The sequence below is a fragment of the Homo sapiens genome, chromosome 16, assembly GCF_000001405.40.
Source record: "Homo sapiens chromosome 16, GRCh38.p14 Primary Assembly".
Lineage (NCBI taxonomy): Eukaryota > Metazoa > Chordata > Mammalia > Primates > Hominidae > Homo > Homo sapiens.
In genome coordinates, this window is record NC_000016.10 from 3,188,188 (window position 1) to 3,208,672 (window position 20,485).

General features: G+C 49.8%; 1 protein-coding gene, 3 non-coding genes and 1 pseudogene across 8 annotated transcripts, besides 2 other annotated features; all 5 read left to right on the forward strand.

The window, feature by feature from the left end:
* The first annotated feature begins 16 nt into the window (after positions 1-16).
* OR1F1 (olfactory receptor family 1 subfamily F member 1) lies at positions 17-18,369 on the forward strand. 5 transcript variants are annotated; one of them, NM_001370641.2, is made up of 5 exons: positions 17-292; positions 1,562-1,611; positions 3,054-3,150; positions 15,040-15,279; positions 16,048-18,369. In NM_001370641.2, the coding sequence occupies exon 5, from the start codon at positions 16,060-16,062 to the stop codon at positions 16,996-16,998; it is 939 nt and encodes a 312-aa protein (NP_001357570.1). In that variant the 5' UTR covers positions 17-292; positions 1,562-1,611; positions 3,054-3,150; positions 15,040-15,279; positions 16,048-16,059; the 3' UTR covers positions 16,999-18,369. The 5 variants fall into 5 exon arrangements, with proteins under 5 accessions (NP_001357570.1, NP_001357569.2, NP_001357568.2 ...); NM_001370640.6 differs by lacking the exon at positions 15,040-15,279 and having other exon boundaries at positions 3,051-3,150; NM_001370639.4 differs by lacking the exon at positions 15,040-15,279.
* Positions 1,416-1,575: a silencer, noted in NCBI's record as "silent region_7128". NCBI's record gives its function as "represses an Ori minimal core promoter by ATAC-STARR-seq in GM12878 lymphoblastoid cells {active_cell/tissue: GM12878}" and the evidence as "EXISTENCE:reporter gene assay evidence [ECO:0000049][PMID:35858748]".
* On the forward strand, positions 1,447-1,518 carry TRP-AGG2-8 (tRNA-Pro (anticodon AGG) 2-8). The gene has a single exon. It is a non-coding gene; the product is annotated as a tRNA-Pro (tRNA).
* On the forward strand, positions 3,314-3,386 carry TRK-CTT4-1 (tRNA-Lys (anticodon CTT) 4-1). The gene has a single exon. It is a non-coding gene; the product is annotated as a tRNA-Lys (tRNA).
* Positions 3,596-3,965: a silencer, noted in NCBI's record as "silent region_7129". NCBI's record gives its function as "represses an Ori minimal core promoter by ATAC-STARR-seq in GM12878 lymphoblastoid cells {active_cell/tissue: GM12878}" and the evidence as "EXISTENCE:reporter gene assay evidence [ECO:0000049][PMID:35858748]".
* Positions 3,802-3,873, forward strand: TRP-AGG1-1 (tRNA-Pro (anticodon AGG) 1-1). Its single transcript has one exon. It is a non-coding gene; the product is annotated as a tRNA-Pro (tRNA).
* Positions 7,966-8,038, forward strand: TRK-CTT14-1 (tRNA-Lys (anticodon CTT) 14-1; annotated as a pseudogene).
* Positions 18,370-20,485: the final 2,116 nt, after the last annotated feature.

Below are 20,485 nucleotides of genomic sequence, written 5' to 3' on the forward strand. Positions count from 1 at the left end.
ATTTCGCATTTTCAGCAAGGACAGGAGACTAGGAAGGCGGAGGGAGGCTGCTATTGGCAGGGCCTCAGTGGAGACCTCCCGGGGTCCCGGGACGCAGACGGACGGGCCTGAATCGCTCGCCTTGGTGAAATGGGATCCAGCGCTGCCAACTGCGGCAACTGCGGTTAAAGGAGACGACCCCGTGCAGCAGGAGGAGGTTATTTAGAATAAGGAAGAATGCGCCGGGCTCATTGGTCGCTACAGGGGCATAAATTTTTTCTAGGATTCCAGAGTATGGCTGCTCCAGTCCCAGGTGAGCCCTCCTCCGCTTAAAATTCCAGTTTATTCGGAGAAGGGGAGAATACCGGAAGCGGGGGAGAAGGGAGGGGAGTGAGTGAGAGGAGGGAGGCGGGGAAGACCGGGCATCCGCGGGCAGCACTTCAGTCGGCCCTGGCGGGGTGGGGGTCTCGGCCCTTGTCCCCACCCCCAGACCCCGGGGCCTTCCCACTGAGAGCGAGGGAATTCGCGGCTTTGATCTGGAGGGGACAGGGAGCCCCTTTTAGCCCAGATCTGCTGGATTCTCGGGAGTCAGGTGAAATCTGGATACAGGGAAGGGCAGAGTGACAGTAAAGGGTGCCCCGGAACCGATGCCCGACGCCTGCTGCCCCACGGCCTTCATTCTTGCTCCTCCTCACGTCCTGGGGACTGGAGGTCCCGCCAGCTCCCCCCAGTGAAGGGCAAGGGGGCGCATCGCAGAATCGCCCCTGGTGCGCAGCGTAGTTGGTGGCCTAAGCCGTCTTCTCCGAGAGCTCAGCCATCCTGGGCACTTGAGGCCAGGCAGGCGCTGCGGGGCTGGTTCAGTCGATGGAGAAAAGAGACTCTCAGCGTCAGCCTTTAGGGTTCGAGGCCCACGTGGGAAACTCGCTTTCTGGGTTTTGGCTTCCCTGGGGAGAAGGGAGGACCGGAGCCGGAGAAGCGTGAGGTGCGGCGAGGTAGGGTGCCTGGTAGCTGGTGTCTCGTGCACTCCGTCAGGCCTTTATTGAACACCCATTGGTGCCACGCTGAGGGACTGCAGCGTTTCCAAGGCGAGCTTGCAGTGATCGAGGCTCGCAGACCCTCAGCGCAGCCGCTGCCTGCTATTGGGAGGTTCCCATGTCCTGCGGAAGCTGGAGCTCCTCACTGCGCGCCTCGGAGACGCCGAATCCCCAACTCAAGGCCGAGTGGCGGTGGCGGGCGAGGACCCAGGGCCCTTCTGGATTGTGGTAGCGCCAGGGCTGCTCCCCATTTTGTGCGTCGCGGAGGAGGGGCCGGGGCTCTGGGCTTCCGCCACACCCATCCTCACTTGAAATTGCCCCTTCCAGGCGGGTCTGAAATAAGATTCTACTCACTGGGTCCTGCTGGGTCCGCCCCAGCCGCCCCCAGGATGCTAGGACGCCCACAAAGATAACCTTAATGCGTAAATCGTGTGGCTCGTTGGTCTAGGGGTATGATTCTCGCTTAGGGTGCGAGAGGTCCCGGGTTCAAATCCCGGACGAGCCCGGCTTTTGGTGCAGGGTAAAAGTCGTTTCCTGCTCTTTTTTAGATTCGGCTCGACTTACAGACCTCAGCGCAGGACGTGGACGCCCTGCAAAGGTAATTTGTACAAAGGTCTCAAGCTATGTTGACGCCGCCTACTATCCCACTACCTCTTCTTAAAATTCATCTAGAGTCCTGTCACCAGTGTTGCCAGAGCCCTTTTGACAAGCTATTTTTTTTGTCGTTTGTTTGGTTTTTGGTGGTTTTTGTTTTGTTTTGTTTTGTTTTTTGTTACTTCTGGCAGTGCAAACTCGAGGCACCGAAGAAGAGACAAGTCCCTATATACAATAAGAGCCGAATCTTCACAGTCAGACGCCTTAAAAGGTCCAGCCTGGGACTCCCACCCACTATCCCCGGTTCTAGCAGTCGCAGTCTTAATGAGAGAGTGAGCCAGGCACTCGAGCAGTGGAGATAGGCTATGGGTGTTTGCGTCTGGGGTCCAGAGACCTCTCCCTCCCCACATCCCGTCACTCCTCACCTGCGTGTAGCCTCTTGGGGCTCCTCTGCTCCCCTGTCCTGGTTTTGGAAGGAGTACGGACTGAACCCTGGAACCCGGGTACCCCGTCCTGAGTCCCAGCGCCCACCAGGACTGGGGCCTCCTCTGGTCTACTCTGAGGACAGATTCTATTGGCAGGGACTTCATTTTTGTTTGGGACGCTGGGTTTGAGAACGTGCTATGAATCAAGAATCAAAGAAATTTACAAGGAAAATGGACCCAGCACAAGGAGGCAGGGAGGCAGGGCTCACGCCTGCAATCCCAGCACTTTGGGAGGCTGAGGCAGGTTAATCACCTGATGTCAGGAGATTGAGACCATCCTGGCCAACATGGTAAAACCCTGTCTCTACTGAAAATACAAAAATTAGTCGGTCATGGTGGCGGGCGCCTGTAATCCCAGGTACTAGGAAGGATGAGGCAGGAGAATCGCTTGAACCCCGGAGATGGGGGTTGCAGTGAGCTGAAATGGCGCCAGTGCACTCCAGCCTGGGTGACAAGGTAAGACTCTATCTAAAAAAAAAAAAAAAAAAAGACCGCAAAACAAGGTATCATGAACAACAAGTCATCAACAGTAGGCAACAGAAACAAAATTGCAAACATTTTGGATGCAGACTATTGGGAAGTCTGTAATACAATTATCCTTAGGAAAGGCAATAAAGAAAATATCTTTGACAACGGGACCTATGTAAAATGCTCTCCTTTGAACCTTCTAGATTGAAAAAACAACCAAATAGTTCTAGATATAAAAGCACACAGTAATGGAAACGGAACAGCTACATGCACGTCACAGTAGGTTACAGTGCGGAGCGACACCTGCGAGGACTTCTGTGAGCTCCCAGTGAGCTTCAGACATTCTGTCTGCAGCTCCAAAGATGGGTTAATTTGCCCGATACACAGCAGAACTCTCCTGTTCCTGTAATTCGAGTGGCCTCCAAAAAGAGGTTGTCGTTGACTCTTTTAGGTGCGTGCAGTGTGGGTATGTTTTTTCTCTTTCTGAAAGGAGGACATTTCAGCGGACGGCAGAGAATACAGATTTATGCCAGCGCCCTGCGGAAGGAGCCTCTGGCGGGTCATCTCCATTTATGGGAGATCGCAGAGCGGTGAGCAAAGTCTTGCACCAGCGGGGATGTCGGGGTGGAACTGAACCTGTTGTAGGGGACCCCCAGTGTGCCCTGGTTTCTGGGGCTGATTCATTACGTCACTTAGTTTCTACTATTCTCATGCCACCCCGCCAATTACTAGACATAAAACGTTCCCAGGGAAGCCCGGCTAGCTCAGTCGGTAGAGCATGGGACTCTTAATCTCAGGGTCGTGGGTTCGAGCCCCACGTTGGGCGACTTGTTTTCTTCCTTGCTACCTTGGAGTTCTGGAAACAGCCAGCATTTAATGAACACTACCAGGTGCCACATCGCGCTCTGTGATGGTATCCCCTCAATGATTGAATTTTGGTCTCCGCGCGCTCCCAGCAGCAAGGATTGTCAGTGAAATGACCAAAGGCAGCACCGGGACGGGCTGGTTGCCAGCCAGGGGCAGAGGGGCGGGGGCGGGTGAGAACTGAGGGGCCACAGGATGGGTGTGAGGGGTGCAGGGGCCTCTCCCCACTTTGTGCGGTGCGGAGAGGGGCCGGGGCGCTGGCCCACCCACTGAGTCTGCAATCCCAGTCTCCTGTCACTTTGCTTTCGCAGGCTTGAGCTTTATCGCTCCAAGTACTCCACGGCTGCCACAAAGAAAAGTAAAGGGCCTGCTGCTGTGGCTCGTTGGTCTAGGGGTATGATTCTCGCTTAGGATGCGAGAGGTCCCGGGTTCAAATCCCGGACGAGCCCCTCTTCTTATTTTTGAGACAGAGTCTCGCTCGGTCGCCCAGGCTGGAGTGCAGTGGCGCTATCTCAACTCGGTTGAAGCTCCTTCTCCTGGGTTCACGCCATTCTCCTGCCTCAGCCTCCTGAGTAGCTGGGACTACAGGTGCCCGCCACCACGCCCGATTAATTTTTTGTATTTTTAGTAGAGATGGGGTTTCACCGTGTTAGCCAGGATGGTCTTGATCTGACCTCGTGATCCGCCCGCCTCGGCCTCCCAAAGTGCGGGGATGACAGGCGTGAGCCACTGCGCCCGGCCAACAGCCATGCACTTTCAAGGGCTCAAGTCCAGGGTTTACTCCAGTGAGACTCAACCCCTCGGTCCTGGATTTCTCTGCTTCAATTTATAAAATATAAAGTTACTGGGGGAATTTAGAATATGGATTGTATATTAGATCGCCTTGTCGCATGAGTGTCTGAGGTCCCGGAAGCCTCATTGGTGGGATGAGTATCTTGAGCAGCTCCAACACTGCTGAATTTTTACCACTAGGTAAATGACAGTCACAGCGGATTCCAGGGGTTGTGTCCACGATCCCGGGGGGCGTCGGCTTTGAGCAGCCTCAAGGGGAGGGTTTTGTCTGGCTCCTTGCTTCCTCTCGCGCCGAGCCTGGAAAAGCGAGGTGCAGGGTAGAATCTCCCGGGCCGCCTCCGTGTCCCGGACGTTGGCCCAGCTCTGAGTCGCGGCGCTCGGCCCTGGGGTGCGGCCCGGGAGGCTGCTAAGAGGGCGCTGACTTGGGCTTGCAGTTGAGCTTTTGGCGGTCCGGTGGGGTGTCTGACTCGCGCCGTCTGCAATCTTCCTCCCGGGTACTGTGCCCCGCGGGATTAAAAAAAAAGAGTTTTTAAAAATTTTTTATCTTTTTTGAAATGGCGTCTTCCTCTGTCGCCCAGGCTGGAATGCAGTGGAGCGATCTCGGCTCACTGCAGCCTCCGCCTCCCAGGTTCAAGCGATTTTCCTGTCTCAGCCTTCCGAGTAGTTGGAGGAGCCACCACACCCGGCTAATTTTTGTATTTTTAGTAGAGACGGGGTTTCGCCATGTTGGCCAGGCTGGCCTCGAACTCCTGACCTCAAGTGATCCACCGCCTTGGCCTCCCAAAGTGCTGAGATTACTGGCGCGAGCCTCCACGCCCGGCCCCTGCAGGATCTTTTGTCATGCCCTGGACCCCAGGAGGACCTGACCTTTATTAAACACAGTGGGGCTGTCAAGGGCCTCGCGTCAAGGCTCAGCGCTTCACCGACGCACCCAGCCCGAGACCCTCCGTTGCTCTCTGACTCCGAAGGAAAATCTAGTTCCTTCGGGCGCCTGGGACTCCTTTCTGGAGGATCAGACGAGTCGGGCTCCGCGAAGCCCATGCGGGCTGGAGGATCGGAAACCACGCGGGAGAGGATAGCGCCGGTGGCGCGAGGACGCAGACTGCAGAGCTCTACGGGGAATGGGAGTTTTCTCTCGTTCACTATGGCGTCCCCGGCGACCCGAATGGAGGCTGCTGCGTTGCAAGAACTGGGCTAAGACTATTTTTTTTGAGACAGGATCTCACTCCCGTCGCCCAGGCTGGAGTGCAGTGGCGCCATCTCGGCTCCCTGCAGCCTCCACTTCCTAGGCTCAAGCGATCCTCCAGCCTCAGCCTCCCAAGTAGATGGGACTACAGGCGAGCGCAACCACAACCGGCTAATTTTAAAATTTTTGTAGAGACGGGGTCTCGCTATGTTGCTCAAGCTGGCATACTTCCTTGAATAAATGCCCAAACCAATTCTAGGGTCATTTTCTAGCCACCCGCGATAAGTTATTCTGTCTTTTAATATTCTCAGTAGGGCACGTGGTAACTGCCCCAGTGGCCTGATGGATAAGGTACTGGCCTCCTAAGCCAGGGATTGTGGGTTCGAGTTCCACCTGGGGTAAGACAACACCGACCGTAGGTGACTTGGGGTAAGGTATCACGCCTTTTAAAAAGGACAAAGCATGGAGACACATAAGTAGAAAAACTTTGCAAGAATAAGAAGAAACGGCATGAATTTGGAAGAAAAACAGGGCATTAAACAAGACACACAATCTCCTCTCTCTCTAGGATGAGAAGAGTGAAGATTTTACTTACCTCTCTCCACATCAAAGGGACAAGAAAAAGCAATGTACAGCTTTTGTATATATCAAAGTGGGAAAATGTTGGAGGCTGGTTTTCTGTTTTGGTTTGTTTGTTTGGTTTGGTTTGTCTTTCTGTTTTAGAAAGCACCCCTTGTATACACACCTCTTTGGCCCACACGTTCCATTTCATAGAAATAAGAGTACCATGTATGTACAAGGATGTTTTATTGCAGTAATTTTGTTCAAAAACGGGAAGGGAGATGACCATGAATAGGGGATGAATTGAATACAGTTTGTTTCATTAATGTTGCTCAACCTCAGAAAAGAACGTTCAATCTATCCTGGTTGACTTGGATATCCCCCACGGGAGAGATGTATGACACTTTACAAAACAAGCAGCGACTCTGAGGCCCCAGATGTTTGTGTATGATCAGTGCCAAAGGCTCTTGGCACTCGGGCCAGAGGAGAGGAGGGGAGAAAAAAGATTCTAGTAAAATGGAAAAATATGCAGATCAAAAGTAAACAGGAACAGGAGAAAACAGAGGTCTCTTTTGGAATTTAAGGGGGGCACTTGCGGAATTGGAAGTGAGGTGGGCAGATGATCATGTGGACTTAATGTGGTTTATGATCGTGAGTGATTTAGGTCTCGCTATGTTGTTCAGGCTGGTCTGGAACTCCTGTGCTCAAGTTATCTTCCTGCCTCGGCCTCCCAAAATGCTGGGATTACAGGCGTGAGCCACCGCCCTTCTTCTGTGACTTCTGATAGTGACTCCTGGGCATGAAAGACCTCGAGGGTGGAGTCTTGGCATCGGTCCAGGATTTGGGGTCCAGCAAGTGCTGTCCAGATTGGCGTGTCACTCAGTGAGCACTCTGGTGGCGGAAGGCCCCGTGTCCCCCGGAGCACAATGCCAGCCGTGCTCCGGGAAGCGCATCCCGGCCCAGGAGGGTGCTTCTTGCTCAGAGCCCGGGTCCTGGACCCAATCTCAGACCCTGCGCCTCCGGCGCTCTCCCCCCAACCGTTCCTTCTCTTCCTGCCGCTACGGAAACAGGAGAGAATCCTCCCTAAAAAGACAGGTAACTCATTGTGCTAATTGCGTTTACTATTAAAAAAAGAAAAGAAAAGAAAACAGAAAAAAAGGCAAAAAACAAAACAACAAACAAACCAAAACAGCTACCGCGACTTGTGTGCGGGTTAAACGACGCACTAGCTTCAAATGCGGGCGTCCATCCCAGTGAGAAAGGAAACAGGGCCCGGCGCGGTGGCTCAGAGAGGCAAGGCCGGGAGATTACCTGAGGTCAGGAGTTCGAGACCAGCCTGGCTAACATGGTGAAACCCTGTCTCTACTAAAAATACAAAAATATTAACCGGGCGTGGTGGGGGTGGCCTGTAATCCCAGCTACTCGGGAGGCTGAGGCAAGAGAATCGCTGGAGCCCGGGAGTTGGAGGTTGCAGTGAGCAGAGATCACACCATTGTATTACAAGCCCGGGGGACAGAGTGGAACTCAAAAAAAAAAAAAAAAAAGAAGTGAAGACCAGCAACTACCTCTGATACAGAATCCACCCTCTTTCTTTTTCTGTTTTGAAAGTCCATTTTGTTAACTGCTATATCCCCAGTGCCTGGCACACAGAGGTGCTCAATACATATTTGAGAGCATGAATTACTTTATTGGGCAATGTGGCCCCCAGTACATCTGGGCACACCTTGGGACTGAGAACATAGGGTGGGATGTACCCTCCCACCTGGGTGCGCAGCCCCACCAGGTGGGTTTGGTCACTGAGCCCCTGCCTGGGGCTTCCAGGACCCCAGAGTCTCTGTGCCACCCGCCAGCAGGACGCGTGGGTCACGTCTCTCCTGGTGGACTTTCTCTTCTCCTGGGAAGGGCAGGACCCAGCGAGCAGTTGGTGGCACTGCCTGATTCATCCTCACGTTCATGTCAAGTGGTGAGCACACACTCCATTATCAGAAAACCTTGCAGTTATGCCCAGCTAGCTCAGCCGGTAGAGCACAAGACTCTTAATCTCAGGGTCGTGGGTTTGAGCCCTGTGTTGAGCACATGTTTCCTTTTCCTTTGCAGCCCTAGGCTGCAGAGAAGGTTGAGACATGGAGTACTCTCAGGTCTTTGCCCAGTGAAAGTTTTTGGATGAAGGTTAGTAACGTTTAGCAAGACTTAGGAGATGCTAATCGGGGCCATTAAAGTTTTAAAGTAAAAATATTATTATTATTATTTTGAGATGGGGTCTCCCTCTGTTGCCCAGGCTGGAGGGCAGTGGTACGATTACAGCTCACTGCATCCTTGACCTCCCAGGCTGAGGATATCTTCCCACCTCAGCCTCCTAAGTAGCTGGCACCACAGGCACGCACTACGACACCCAGCTAATTTTTAAAATTATTTTTGTAGAGATGGGATCTCACTATTGTTGCCCAGGCTGGTCTTGAACTCCTGGGCTCAAGAGATCCCCCTGCGTTGGCCTCCCAAAGTGCTGGGATTACAGATGTAAGCCACCACGACTGGCGGTGAAATTAATCTTTTTTTTTTTTTTTTTTTGAAATGGAGTTTCGCTGTTGTTGCCCAGGCTGGAGTGCAATGGCGTCCTGCAACCTCCGCATCCTGGGTTCAAGCAAGTCTCCAGCCTCACCTCAGCCTCCCAAGTAGCTGGGATTACTGGCGCCACCACCATGCCCAGCTATTTTGTTGTTGTTGTTGTTTTGTTTTGTTTCTTTGAGACAGAGTCTCACTCTGTTGACCAGGCTGGAGTGCAGTGGTGCAATCTCAGCTTCCTGCAACCTCCGCCTGCCGGCTTCAAGTGATTCTCCTGCCTCAGTCCCCCAAGTAGCTGGGATTACAGGAGTGCGCCACTGCACCTAATTTTTGTATTTTTTTCAGTAGAGACAGAGTTTCACCATGTTGGCCAGGCTAGTCTCGAACTCCTGACCTCAGGTGATCCGCTCTCCTCAGCCTCCCACAGTGCTGAGATTACAGGCATGAGCCATCACACCTGGCATTTTTTTTTTTTTTTGTATTTTTAGTAGAGACGGGGTTTCACCATGTTGGCCAGGCTGGTCTGAAACTCTTGACCTCAGGTGGTCCACCTGCCTCGGCCTCCCAAAGTGCTGGGATTACAGGTGTGAGCCACTGTGCCCAGCCCAAAACTAATCTTAATAATACATTTTATTTGAACAAATGTTTTATGTCACAAGTAATCAATATATACATTATCAATGAGATAGGTTATGTCGTTGTTGGTTTTTTTTTCTCTCATTCTAAACCTTCAAACTCTGGCATGCTTTCCTCTAAGGCACATCTCAACTTGCACAGGCCACATGTCAAGGGCTCCAGAGCCACCTGCTGCTGGGGGCCAGTTCCTCAGACAGCGCAGTCCTACATCTGACTACAAGCTTAAATGTGGCCACATGTCAAGGGCTCCAGAGCCACCTGCTGCTGGGGGCCAGTTCCTCAGACAGCGCAGTCCTACATCTGACTACAAGCTTAAATGGGCTGGGGAGAGAGGGAGAGGGAGAGGGAGAGGGAGAAGGAGAGGGAGAGGGAGAAGGAGAGGGAGAGGGAGAAGGAGAGGGAGAGGGAGAAGGAGAAAGAGAGGGAGAAGGAGGGAGAGGGAGAAGGAGAGGGAGAGGGAGAAGGAGAGGGAGAAGGAGAGGGAGAGGGAGAAGGAGAGGGAGAAGGAGAGGGAGAGGGAGAAGGAGAGGGAGAGGGAGAAGGAGAGGGAGAGGGAGAAGGAGAAAGAGAGGGAGAAGGAGGGAGAGGGAGAAGGAGAGGGAGAGGGAGAAGGAGAGGGAGAAGGAGAGGGAGAGGGAGAAGGAGAGGGAGAAGGAGAGGGAGAGGGAGAAGGAGAGGGAGAAGGAGAGGGAGAGGGAGAAGGAGAGGGAGAGGGAGAAGGAGAGGGAGAGGGAGAAGGAGAGGGAGAGGGAGAAGGAGAGGGAGAAGGAGAGGGAGAGGGAGAAGGAGGGAGAGAGAGGGAGAGAGAGGGAGAGAGAGAGACAGAGAGAGAGATTATAAGGAATTGGCTCACGCAGATGGAGGCTAACAGGTCCCCAAGTATGCAGGGTGAGTTGGCAAACTGGAGACCCAGCAGAGCTGATGGTGTGGTTCTAATCCGGAGGCTAGCAGGCAGGAGGCCCAGGAAGAGCGGGTGTTTTCATGGGATTCTGAAGGCACAAAATAGCTGGTGTGCCATCTGGCTGAGGCAAGTAGGCTGACATGTTTCCCCTGTTGGTGGTGGGGATGACACATGCAGAGAGAGGACAGGCTTAACCCCTTAAGCAGGGGAAATGCCTGATGAACATGGGTGTTTTAGGGGAATCAACACAGTTCTGTACAGATATGCAAGCGGGGACAGGGAACAGGTAGCTCTCCTGGGCCTGGTCTATGTTGGACCTGATGGTGGCAGCTGGCAGGAGATGAAACAAAACAACAGTGAGACTTTGTACTTCAGGTGAAAGGGTAGTGGCGAGGTCCTGCCTGGTAGAAACCATGAGGTCTTCTGACCCTTTTTGTTTACCCTTAAGAAATCACAGCGGTGGACGCGGTGGCTCACGCCTGGAATCCCAGCATTTTGAGAGGCGAGGCAGGAGGATCACTTAAGCCCAAGCGTTCAAGATCAGCTTGAGCAATATGGCAAAACCCCGGCTCTACAAAAAATACAAAAATTAGCTGGGCTTGGAGGCTGTGATGGGAGGATCGCTTGAGCCCAGGAGCTTGAGGCTGCAGTGAGCTGTGTTCACTCCTCGGCACTCCAGCTTAGGTGACAGAGCAAGATCTTGTCACAAAAAACGAAAACAAAAACAAAATCAAAACCCATTAAAGAAGGTGAGGATGGTGGCTCACGCCTATAATCCCAGCACTTTGAGAGGCCAGGGCAGGAGGATCACTTGAGCTCAGGTGTTCCAGACCAGCCTGGGCCAGAAGGCAAGATCCTGTCTCTACAAAAAAAAAAAAAAAAAAAAAAAAAAAAAAAAAAAAAATTACCTGAACATAGTGGCATGTGTCTGTAGTCCCAGCTCCTCAGGAGGCTGAGACAGGAGAATCACCTGAGCCTGGAAGGTTGAGACTTCAGTGAGCTGTGTTCATACCACTGCATTCCAGCCTAGGCAACAGAGGGAGACCCTACCTGAAATAATAATAATTATTATGATGATGAAAATAAAAATATATAATAAAAGAGATTAAATAGCTGGGCACAGTGTCTCATGCCTGTAATCCCAGTATTTCAGGAGGCTGAGGTAAGAGGATTGCTTGAGCCCAGGAGTTCAAGACCAGTCGAGACCAGCCTGGGCAACATAATGAGACATCATCTTTACAAAAAATTTAAAAATTAGCCAGGTGTGTTGATGGTCTCACTATGTTGCCCAGGCTGGTCTCAAACTCCTGAGCTTAAGCGGGCCTCCCACCTTGGCCTCCCAAAGTGCTAGTGTTGACCATTGATATGATACCTTGGTTTATGTATTCTTGGTTTAAAAGAATTTAAACAAGAGACACACAGCAAAACAAATGCAGCATAGAGTAACTTCTTGCAAAAGAAAAAGGATATTTTGAAAGTTATGGCTGGTTGCAGTGGCTCACACTTGTAATCTCTCAGCACTTTGAGAGGCCAAGGCGGGCGGATCGCCTGAGGTCAGGAGTTTGAGACCAGCCTGACCAACATGGAGAAACCCCGTCTCTACTAAAAATACAAAATTAGCTGGGCATTGTGGTGCATGCCTGGCAATCCCAGCTACTCGGGAGGCTGAGGCAGGAGAATCGCTTGAACCCAGGAGGCGGAGGTTGTGGTGAACCGAGATCATGCCACTGCACTGCACCCCAGGCAACAAGAACAAAACTCCGTCTCAAAAAAAAAAAAGAAGAAGAACAAAGTTAGGTGCAGAATAGACAGTACACCCTGAGAGAGAGGGAACTGAGGGCAGGCCGCTTGTAAGAATGAGACAGCAAAGATGCACGAGGGAGACTCCCTTTATGGGAGCCTTAAATGGTTATTCATAAGGAGATGAGAGAGGTGTTACTAGTAAGCCTGTTCTGGGTGGTCTTCTTCTCAGTGCACAAGTGCTGTAGCTGTGAATGCTTGTTCATAGGTTGCACGTCTCGTTAGCATCTTAAATCTCCACCCAGGGATATGTTTTTTACTATTAAAATGAGGAAAAAGGCTGGGCATGGTGGCGCATGCCTGTAATCCCACTTTCGGAGGCCGAGAGGGGCGGATCACTTGAGCTCAGGAATTCGAGACCAGCCTGGCCAATATGGTGAAACTCTGTCTCTACTAAAAATACAAAAATTAGCCGGACATGGCAGTGCATGCCTGTAATCCCAACTACTCGGGAGGCTGAGGCAGGAGAATGGCGTGGACCCGGGAGGCAGTGAGCCAAGATTGCGCCACTGCGCTCTAGCCTGGGCGACAGAGCAAGACGTCATCTCAAAACAAACAAACAAACAAAAAACGAATAAACAAACAAAGAACCAGGAAAAGGTCAATTTGAAGGCAGGTAAGATCAGAATGCACATGCTCTACAGAAGGGAAAGTACCTACTGAAGATAGCTTTGCTTTAATGACCTCAATTACAAGGTGAATGCTGAGGCTTACTGTGTGGACTGTGTGGTCACCACAGTTGCTGTGTCCCAAGAACATGGTCACATTCTTGACTACCTATCCTGCCTCACTAGGATTACAGGTGTGACCCACCATGCCTGACCAATGGCATTAATTACATTGACAATGTATGCAATAATCACCATTATCTGTTTCCAAAACGTTTTCGTTTCAAACAAATTCTGTAACCATTAAGCAATAACTCCCCACATCCCCTTCCCCAGCTGTTAATAACCTTTAATCTACTTCCTGTCTCTATGGATTTGCCTACTCTAGACATTTCATCTAAGTAGAATAATACATTATGTGTTCTTTTGTATCTGGCTTCTTTCACTTAGCATAATGTCTCAGGGTTCATCCACATTGTAGTGTGTGTCAGTGCTTCATTCCTTTTTTATGGATGAATGATATTCCATCATAAGGATCTACCACATTTTGTTTATCTATTCATCTGTTGATGGATACTTGTGTTATTTTCACATTTTGGCCATTGTGACTAATGTACAATAATTGTTGTACAAATATCTGTTTGAGTCCCTGTTTTCAATTCTTTTGGGTACAAACCTAGGAATGGAATTGCTGGATTGTATGGTAATTGTATGTTTAGCTCCTGGGGGAACAACCCAACTGTTTTCCCCAGCAGCTGCATCATTTTACCTTCTCACCAGCAATGTAGAGCTCTAGTTTCTCTACATCCTTGCCAACACTTGTCATTTTTGTCTGCTTGTTTAATTATTGCCAAATACGTGGAGGAAAAGGGGAATTCCTATCCTCCTCCATTTAGTCCTGGTGACAATGTCCATCACTGGATTCCCGCATGGAATGGATTGAGCTGATGATCCAGAATGATGAGAGTACTCTGTTCTTCCATGCAGAATGGTTTGTTCAGGTTTGGACACATGACCCACGAAGGGATGATCACAACCTTACCTGGAGTTGAGGTAGGAAGCAGGGCTCGGACACTGGACCAAATTGAGGATTAGCTAAAAGAGATGGGGCGGAAGCAGCTTTCCATAAGACATACCCACCAGTGACACCCAGGCGTCACTGCCCCTTTCCATGGCAATGACTCAGTGACCCAAACGTTACTACCCCTTCCCTAGAAATTTCTGCATAAACTGCACCTTATTCTACATGTACTTAAAAATGGGTATAAATATGGCTGCAAAACTCCCTAGAGCTGTTACTCTCAGCACACTGCCTATGGGGGAGCCCTCCTCTGCAGGAGCAGTCAGGCAGCTGTAACACTGCCTGCTGCTTTAGTAAAGCTGTTTTCTTCTACCACTGGCTCGCCCTTGTATTCTTTCCTGGGCAAAGCCAAGAACCCTTGCAGACTAGGCCTCACTTTGGGGCTCGCTTGTCCTGCATCAGTACAATGTTATTAATAAATAAACATTGGTAGAGGGAAGTTTCATGTGCCCTGTGGCTGCTAGTCTGGAAGGATGTGAATTTGGAGCCACTGTTGGACATCTTGCTGCCACATGAGGAGAGGTAATCTGCAGAATGAAGCTGAGCAGAAGCCAATGCAGTAGTGAGATAGAGAAATACAGGGTCTTGATGTTATCATTCAGCTCCCTGAATTTGGTCTGGCCTGAAACACAAAGGCTTTGCAAGAAGACACCTTGGATTTTGTAATGACATTAACCTGTCATTTCTCCCTAGGCTGATATGAGTTGGTTTTCTATCGCTTGCAAATAATGTCTTTGCTAATTCAGTGTCCATTCTCCTCCTCCTCCCCAGATCTTTCGTAATTAGCTTTATGGGTTGTTTGTTGTTCTTGTTGTTTGTTTGTTTTTAAGACGAATTCTCGCTCTGTTGCCCAGCCTGGTGGGCATGGTAGTGCACGCCTGTAGTACCTTGCCTGGGCAACAAGAATGAAATTCCATCTCAAAATAATAATAATAATAATAATAATAATAATAATAATAATAATAATAACAATTTAATATCTTCAGCCTTCACCTAGTGGACATGGTCTTAGCCCAGTGCATTGATGAGGTTAAGAGTCACGAGATATTTAACATAAATTACCTAGTTTAGTTATTACAACCCTACAAGGTGAATATTATTTCTCCACTCTATAGATGATGGGAGCTGGTGATTCAGTGGAGGTTACTAGCTTTTCTAAGGCTATACAACTGGTAATGGTGGATCTGGAAATTGAGTGCTGGTCTGTGAAAATCCAAAGGTTATCTTCTTAATCCCAGTACAGCTTCACAGGTATCTCCCAACAAGATCAGCATCCCAGCTGGGTGGGGGATAAAATACAGGGTCGTGAGTTTCCTCTAGCAGAAGGATTGTTGCCAATGATTACCCCTTAGATTGCATCACTTTCAGTGTTGCCAAGTGCTGAGGCAGGAATTATGTATGACAAAGCTTTATCGTCAGTGTCGGACACAAAAGAGCCAAGGAGGGGAAGGGACAATTACTCTCTGCTTTTCTCAATGAGGCTCTCAGGGAATATGACCCTAGTGGCCATGGAGGCTCCTGTGAAGAGCTTGCCCTGTGATTCTTCCAAACATCCTTCCTGCATCAAGGGCTGAGTCTGTGCAGCCCAGCTCCTGATTCATGAGATACTCAGCCTCAAAGCTCCAGTGACGAGTCACCCTCCCTCAGACCAATAACCTCTGGCCAGGTCTGAAAAAGGGAAGCCAACCCAGGACTTCAGGAGACAGTGAGGACTGCTGCTCTTTCTGGGTAAGAGTCAGATCATTGGCCAGGTGTGGTGGCTCACGCCTGTAATCCCAGCACCTTGGGAGGCCAAGGCGGGCGGATCACGAGGTCAAGAGATAGAGACCATCATGGCCAACATGGTGAAACCCCGTCTCTACTAAAAATACAAAAATTAGCTGGGCGTGGTGGCACGTGCCTATAATCCCAGCTACTTGGGAGGCTGAAGCAGGAGAATCACTTGAACTAGGGAGCTGAAGGTTGCAGCGAGCCAAGATCTCGCCACTGCACTCTAGCCTGGCGACAGAGCGAGACTCCGTTTAAAAAAAGAAATAAAAAGAGTCACATCAGTGGGACTTCACTGATAACTGCTTGTCAGGACTTAAAGCCTCAGAGGGACCCTCCTTCCTTTCAATTATGTGGAGCCAGAAAAACAGTCCTGAGCTCAGCAGCAGTCCCTTGCAATCACCCAGTCAGGACCAGCCTCTGTCCCGTCTGTCTGACATCCTGAACTGTGGGGAACACAAACTGACTGAGTTTCTGCCCAGACCTCTGGGTTGTTCCATTTTAATTTTACAAATTGGACTCAGGGTGCTCCGTGGATATAGCCAAGAAGGCCTGGCTCAGACTTCTGTAAACCTGAGCCCTGAACATAGCAGTAGCAGCCCCAGCAGGGTTGACAATATTATCATTTACATCCTGCAAGCAAAATTCTACTGCCATTCCTGTGCCCCATCTTAACCAGCATTTTCCAAGCTTTTGCATTTCGTCTTCTTTGTCTGCCTCTGTGTCCAGGATCCCAGGCCCATGAGCGGGACAAACCAGTCGAGTGTCTCCGAGTTCCTCCTCCTGGGACTCTCCAGGCAGCCCCAGCAGCAGCATCTCCTCTTTGTGTTCTTCCTCAGCATGTACCTGGCCACTGTCCTGGGGAACCTGCTCATCATCCTGTCCGTAAGCATAGACTCCTGCCTGCACACCCCCATGTACTTCTTCCTCAGCAACCTGTCTTTTGTGGACATCTGCTTCTCCTTCACCACCGTCCCCAAGATGCTGGCCAATCACATACTCGAGACTCAGACCATCTCCTTCTGTGGCTGTCTCACACAGATGTATTTCGTTTTCATGTTCGTGGACATGGACAATTTCCTCCTAGCTGTGATGGCCTATGACCACTTTGTCGCCGTGTGCCACCCCTTACATTACACAGCAAAGATGACCCATCAGCTCTGTGCCCTGCTGGTTGCTGGATTATGGGTGGTTGCCAACCTGAATGTCCTTCTGCACACCCTGCTGATGGCTCCACTCTCATTCTGTGCAGACAATGCCATCACTCACTTCTTCTGCGATGTGACTCCCCTACTGAAACTCTCCTGCTCAGACACACACCTCAATGAGGTCATAATCCTTAGTGAGGGTGCCCTGGTCATGATCACCCCATTTCTTTGCATCCTGGCTTCTTATATGCACATCACCTGCACTGTCCTGAAGGTCCCATCCACAAAGGGAAGGTGGAAAGCCTTCTCCACCTGTGGTTCTCACCTGGCTGTGGTTCTCCTCTTCTACAGCACCATCATTGCTGTGTATTTTAACCCTCTGTCCTCCCACTCAGCTGAGAAAGACACTATGGCTACTGTGTTGTATACAGTAGTGACTCCCATGCTAAACCCTTTCATCTACAGCCTGAGGAACAGGTACTTGAAAGGGGCTCTGAAAAAAGTAGTTGGCAGGGTGGTGTTTTCTGTCTGATGAAATAATCAAGACTGAATCTCATTCCCAAGGAAATTTATTTTTCACCAATTGAGTTTAATGCAGTAGTTGTTTCATTAAATGATGTTCTTGCTAGTGACACACTTAGTAATTATACTAAGTTAAACTATTAATTATAATTTTTTTTGAGACAGGGTCATGCTCTGTCACCCAGGCTGGAGTGCAGTGCCGTGATCTTGGCTCACTGCACCCTCCATCTCCCAGGCTCAAGTGATCCTCCTGCCTCAGCCTCCTGAGTAGCTGGGACCACAGGTGTGTGCCACATGCCTAGCTAAATTTTTTTTTTTTTTTTTGAGACGGAGTCTCTCTATGTCGCCAGGCTGGATGCTGTTGCGGGAAGTCAGGGACCCTGAACAGAGGGACCAGCTGGAGCTGTGTCAGAGGAACATAAATTGTGAAGATTTCATTTTAATATGGACATGTATCGGTTCCCAAAATTAATACTTTTATAATTTCTTACGCCTGTCTTTACTGCAATCTCTGAACATAAGCTGTGAAGATTTCACGGACATTTATCAGTTCCCGAAATTAACACTTATAATTTCTCATGCCTGTCTTTACTTTAATCTCTTAATCCTGTTATCTTCGTAAGCTGACGATGTACGTCACCTCAGGACCACTGTGATAATTCTACCTAACTATACAAATTGATTGTAAAACATGTGTATTTGAACAATATGAAATCAGTGCACCTTGAAAAAGAACAGAATAACAGTGATTTTAGGGAACAAGGGAAGATAATCATAAGGTCTGACTATCTGTGGAGTTGGGCAGAATGGAGCCATATTTTTCTTCTTGCAGAGAGCCTATAAATGGACGTGCAAGTAGGGATATCACTGAATTCTTTTCCTAGCAAGGAATGTTAATAATTAAGACCTTGGGAGAGGAATGCACTCCTCGGGGGAGGTCTATAAATGGCTGCTCTGGGAGAGTCTGTCTTATGCAGTTGAGATAAGGACTGAAATATGCCCTGGTCTCCTGCAGTACCCTCAGGCTTATTAGTGTGGGGAAAAAACCCCACCCTGGTGAATTTAAGGTCAGACAGATTCTCTGCTCTTGAACCCTGTTTTCTGTTGTTTAAGATGTTTATCAAGACAATACGTGCACAGCTGAACATAGACCCTTATCTGGAGGTTTTGATTTTGTCCTTTGCCTTGTGATCTCTATTGGCTTCAGAGGCATGTGATCTTTGTTCTCCTTTTTGCCCTTTGACACCTGTGATCTCTGTGACCTACTCCCTGTTCGTACACCCCCACCCCTTTTAAAGTCCTTAATAAAAACCTCCTGGTTTTGCGGCTCAGGTGGGTCCTACCAATATGGGATGTCACCCCCAGAGGCCTAGCTGTAAAATTCCTCTCTTTGTACTCTTTCTCTTTATTTCTCAGCTGGCCGACACTTAGGGAAAATAGAAAGAACCTATGTTGAAATATTGGGGGTGGGTTCCCCCAGTAGAGTGCAGTGGAGCCATCTCGGCTTCCTGCAACCTCCACCTCCCAGATTCAAGCTATTCTCCTGCCTCAACCACCCGAGTAACTGGGACTACAGGTGTGCACCACCTGTGCAGCCCGGGTGAAGACTCACTGGCCTCATCCTCCTTTTATGTGTCCTCTGCAATGGTCAAGCATAAAGGCTGGGTCACAAAAATGCTCAGGCAAAAGAACAGCAGAGTGAGGCTGGGTGTGGTGGCTCATGCCAGTAATCCCAGCAGTTTGGGAGGCTGAGGCAGGTGGATCACCTGAGGTCAGGACTTTAAGACCAGCCTGGCCAACATGGTGAAACCCTATCTCTACTAAAAATACAAAAATTAGCTGGGCGTGGTGGCAGGCGCCTACAATCACAGATACTCAGGGGGATGAGGCAGGAGAATTGCTTAAACTTGGGAGGTGGAGGTTGCAGTGAGCCAAGATCAGGCCATTGCATTCCAGCCTGGGTGAAAGAGCAAGGTTCTGTCAAAAAAGGGAGGGGAGGGGAGGGGAGGGGAGGGGAGGGAAGAAAGAAAGAGCGGAGTGAAATGTGAGTACCACAACGAGTAACAAGCATTTCAGATGAACCTGGGGCCCTGGTCCGCTTGCAGCCCAGGCGGTGCAGAGGTGAAGCGACGCTGAACCTTGGGAACCGGCTAGGAGCACCCTGATTGGCTGCCTGACTTAGGGGGCAGGGTCAGCCAGAGCCAGGTCTTTGACATCAGGGAAACAAATCGACATTTGGTCTTCCCTCCATCCAGACCAACTGCCTCTGTCTCTCCTCTCAAGTCAGCTCCCACCCACACCTTCAAGAACCAAGTCAATGCCACCTCCTCCTCCGTGAAGCCTCCGGATTCACGCTTCCGGCTCTCAGAGCTCTGTTTTTCTTTGGTTTATCATTCCCTCTCCACAAGGGCTTTCCGCAGACTACGAGACCTACAGACCCGAATACACACATGACTCACTTTGTATCTCGGTGTCCAGCACTGCTGCTAGACCAAAGGTGATCATCAACTTTAACTGAAAGGAAAAAATATAGGTGAATGCATATGCATATTGCCATACATTTTAATTTGGAGAATGTTACTTTAGAATAAGAAAGAAATAGCAGAGGGAAATGTGAGTACTACAGCAAGTAACAAGCATTTCAGATGAACCTTGGGCCCTGGCCCGCTTGTAGCCCAGGTGGTGCAGAGGTGAAGCAACGCTGAACTGTGGGAACTGGCCAGGAGCACCCTGATTGGCTGCCTGACTTAGGGGGCGGGGTCAAATGACAAAAAATCATTTTGTTATTTGAAAGCTAGTGTCTACGTATGCATTATGGTACACCATAAACCATAAAGAAGAAAATTAAAGTAACCTGTATCCTTGCAGCTCAAAGGTAATCGCAGTTAGGCACTTGGAATATTGTTTTACAAAAGTTGGCTGCAATCGATGCATATAATTTTGAGTTCTGATTTTCCACTTCTTACTTCCCATGTCAGTGGAGCTCTTAGAAACGTGATTTTTTTTTTTTTTTTTGAGATGGAATCGCGTTCTGTCACCAGGCTGGAGTGCAGTGGCACGACCTTGACTCACTGCAACTTCTGCCTCCTGGATTCAAGCAATTCTCCTGCCTCAGCCTCCCAAGTAGCTGGGACAACAGACACGCACCGCCACGCCCAGCTACTTTTTGTATTTTTAGTAGAGACGGGGTTTCACCATGTTGGCCAGGACTGTCTCCATCTGCTGACCTCGTGATCCACCTGCATCGGCCTCCCAAAGTGCTGGGATTACAGGCATGAGCCACCATGCTCAGCCCAGAAATGTGATTTTTTTTTTTTTTTTTTTGAGATGGAGTCTCGCTCTGTCGCCCAGGCTGAAGTGCAGTGGCATGATTTCCGCTCACTGCAAGCTCCACCTCCGGCTTCACACCATTCTCCTGCCTCAGCCTCCGGAGTAGCTGGGGCTATAGGCGCCTGCCACCACACCCAGCTAATTTTTTGTATTTTTAGTAAAGATGG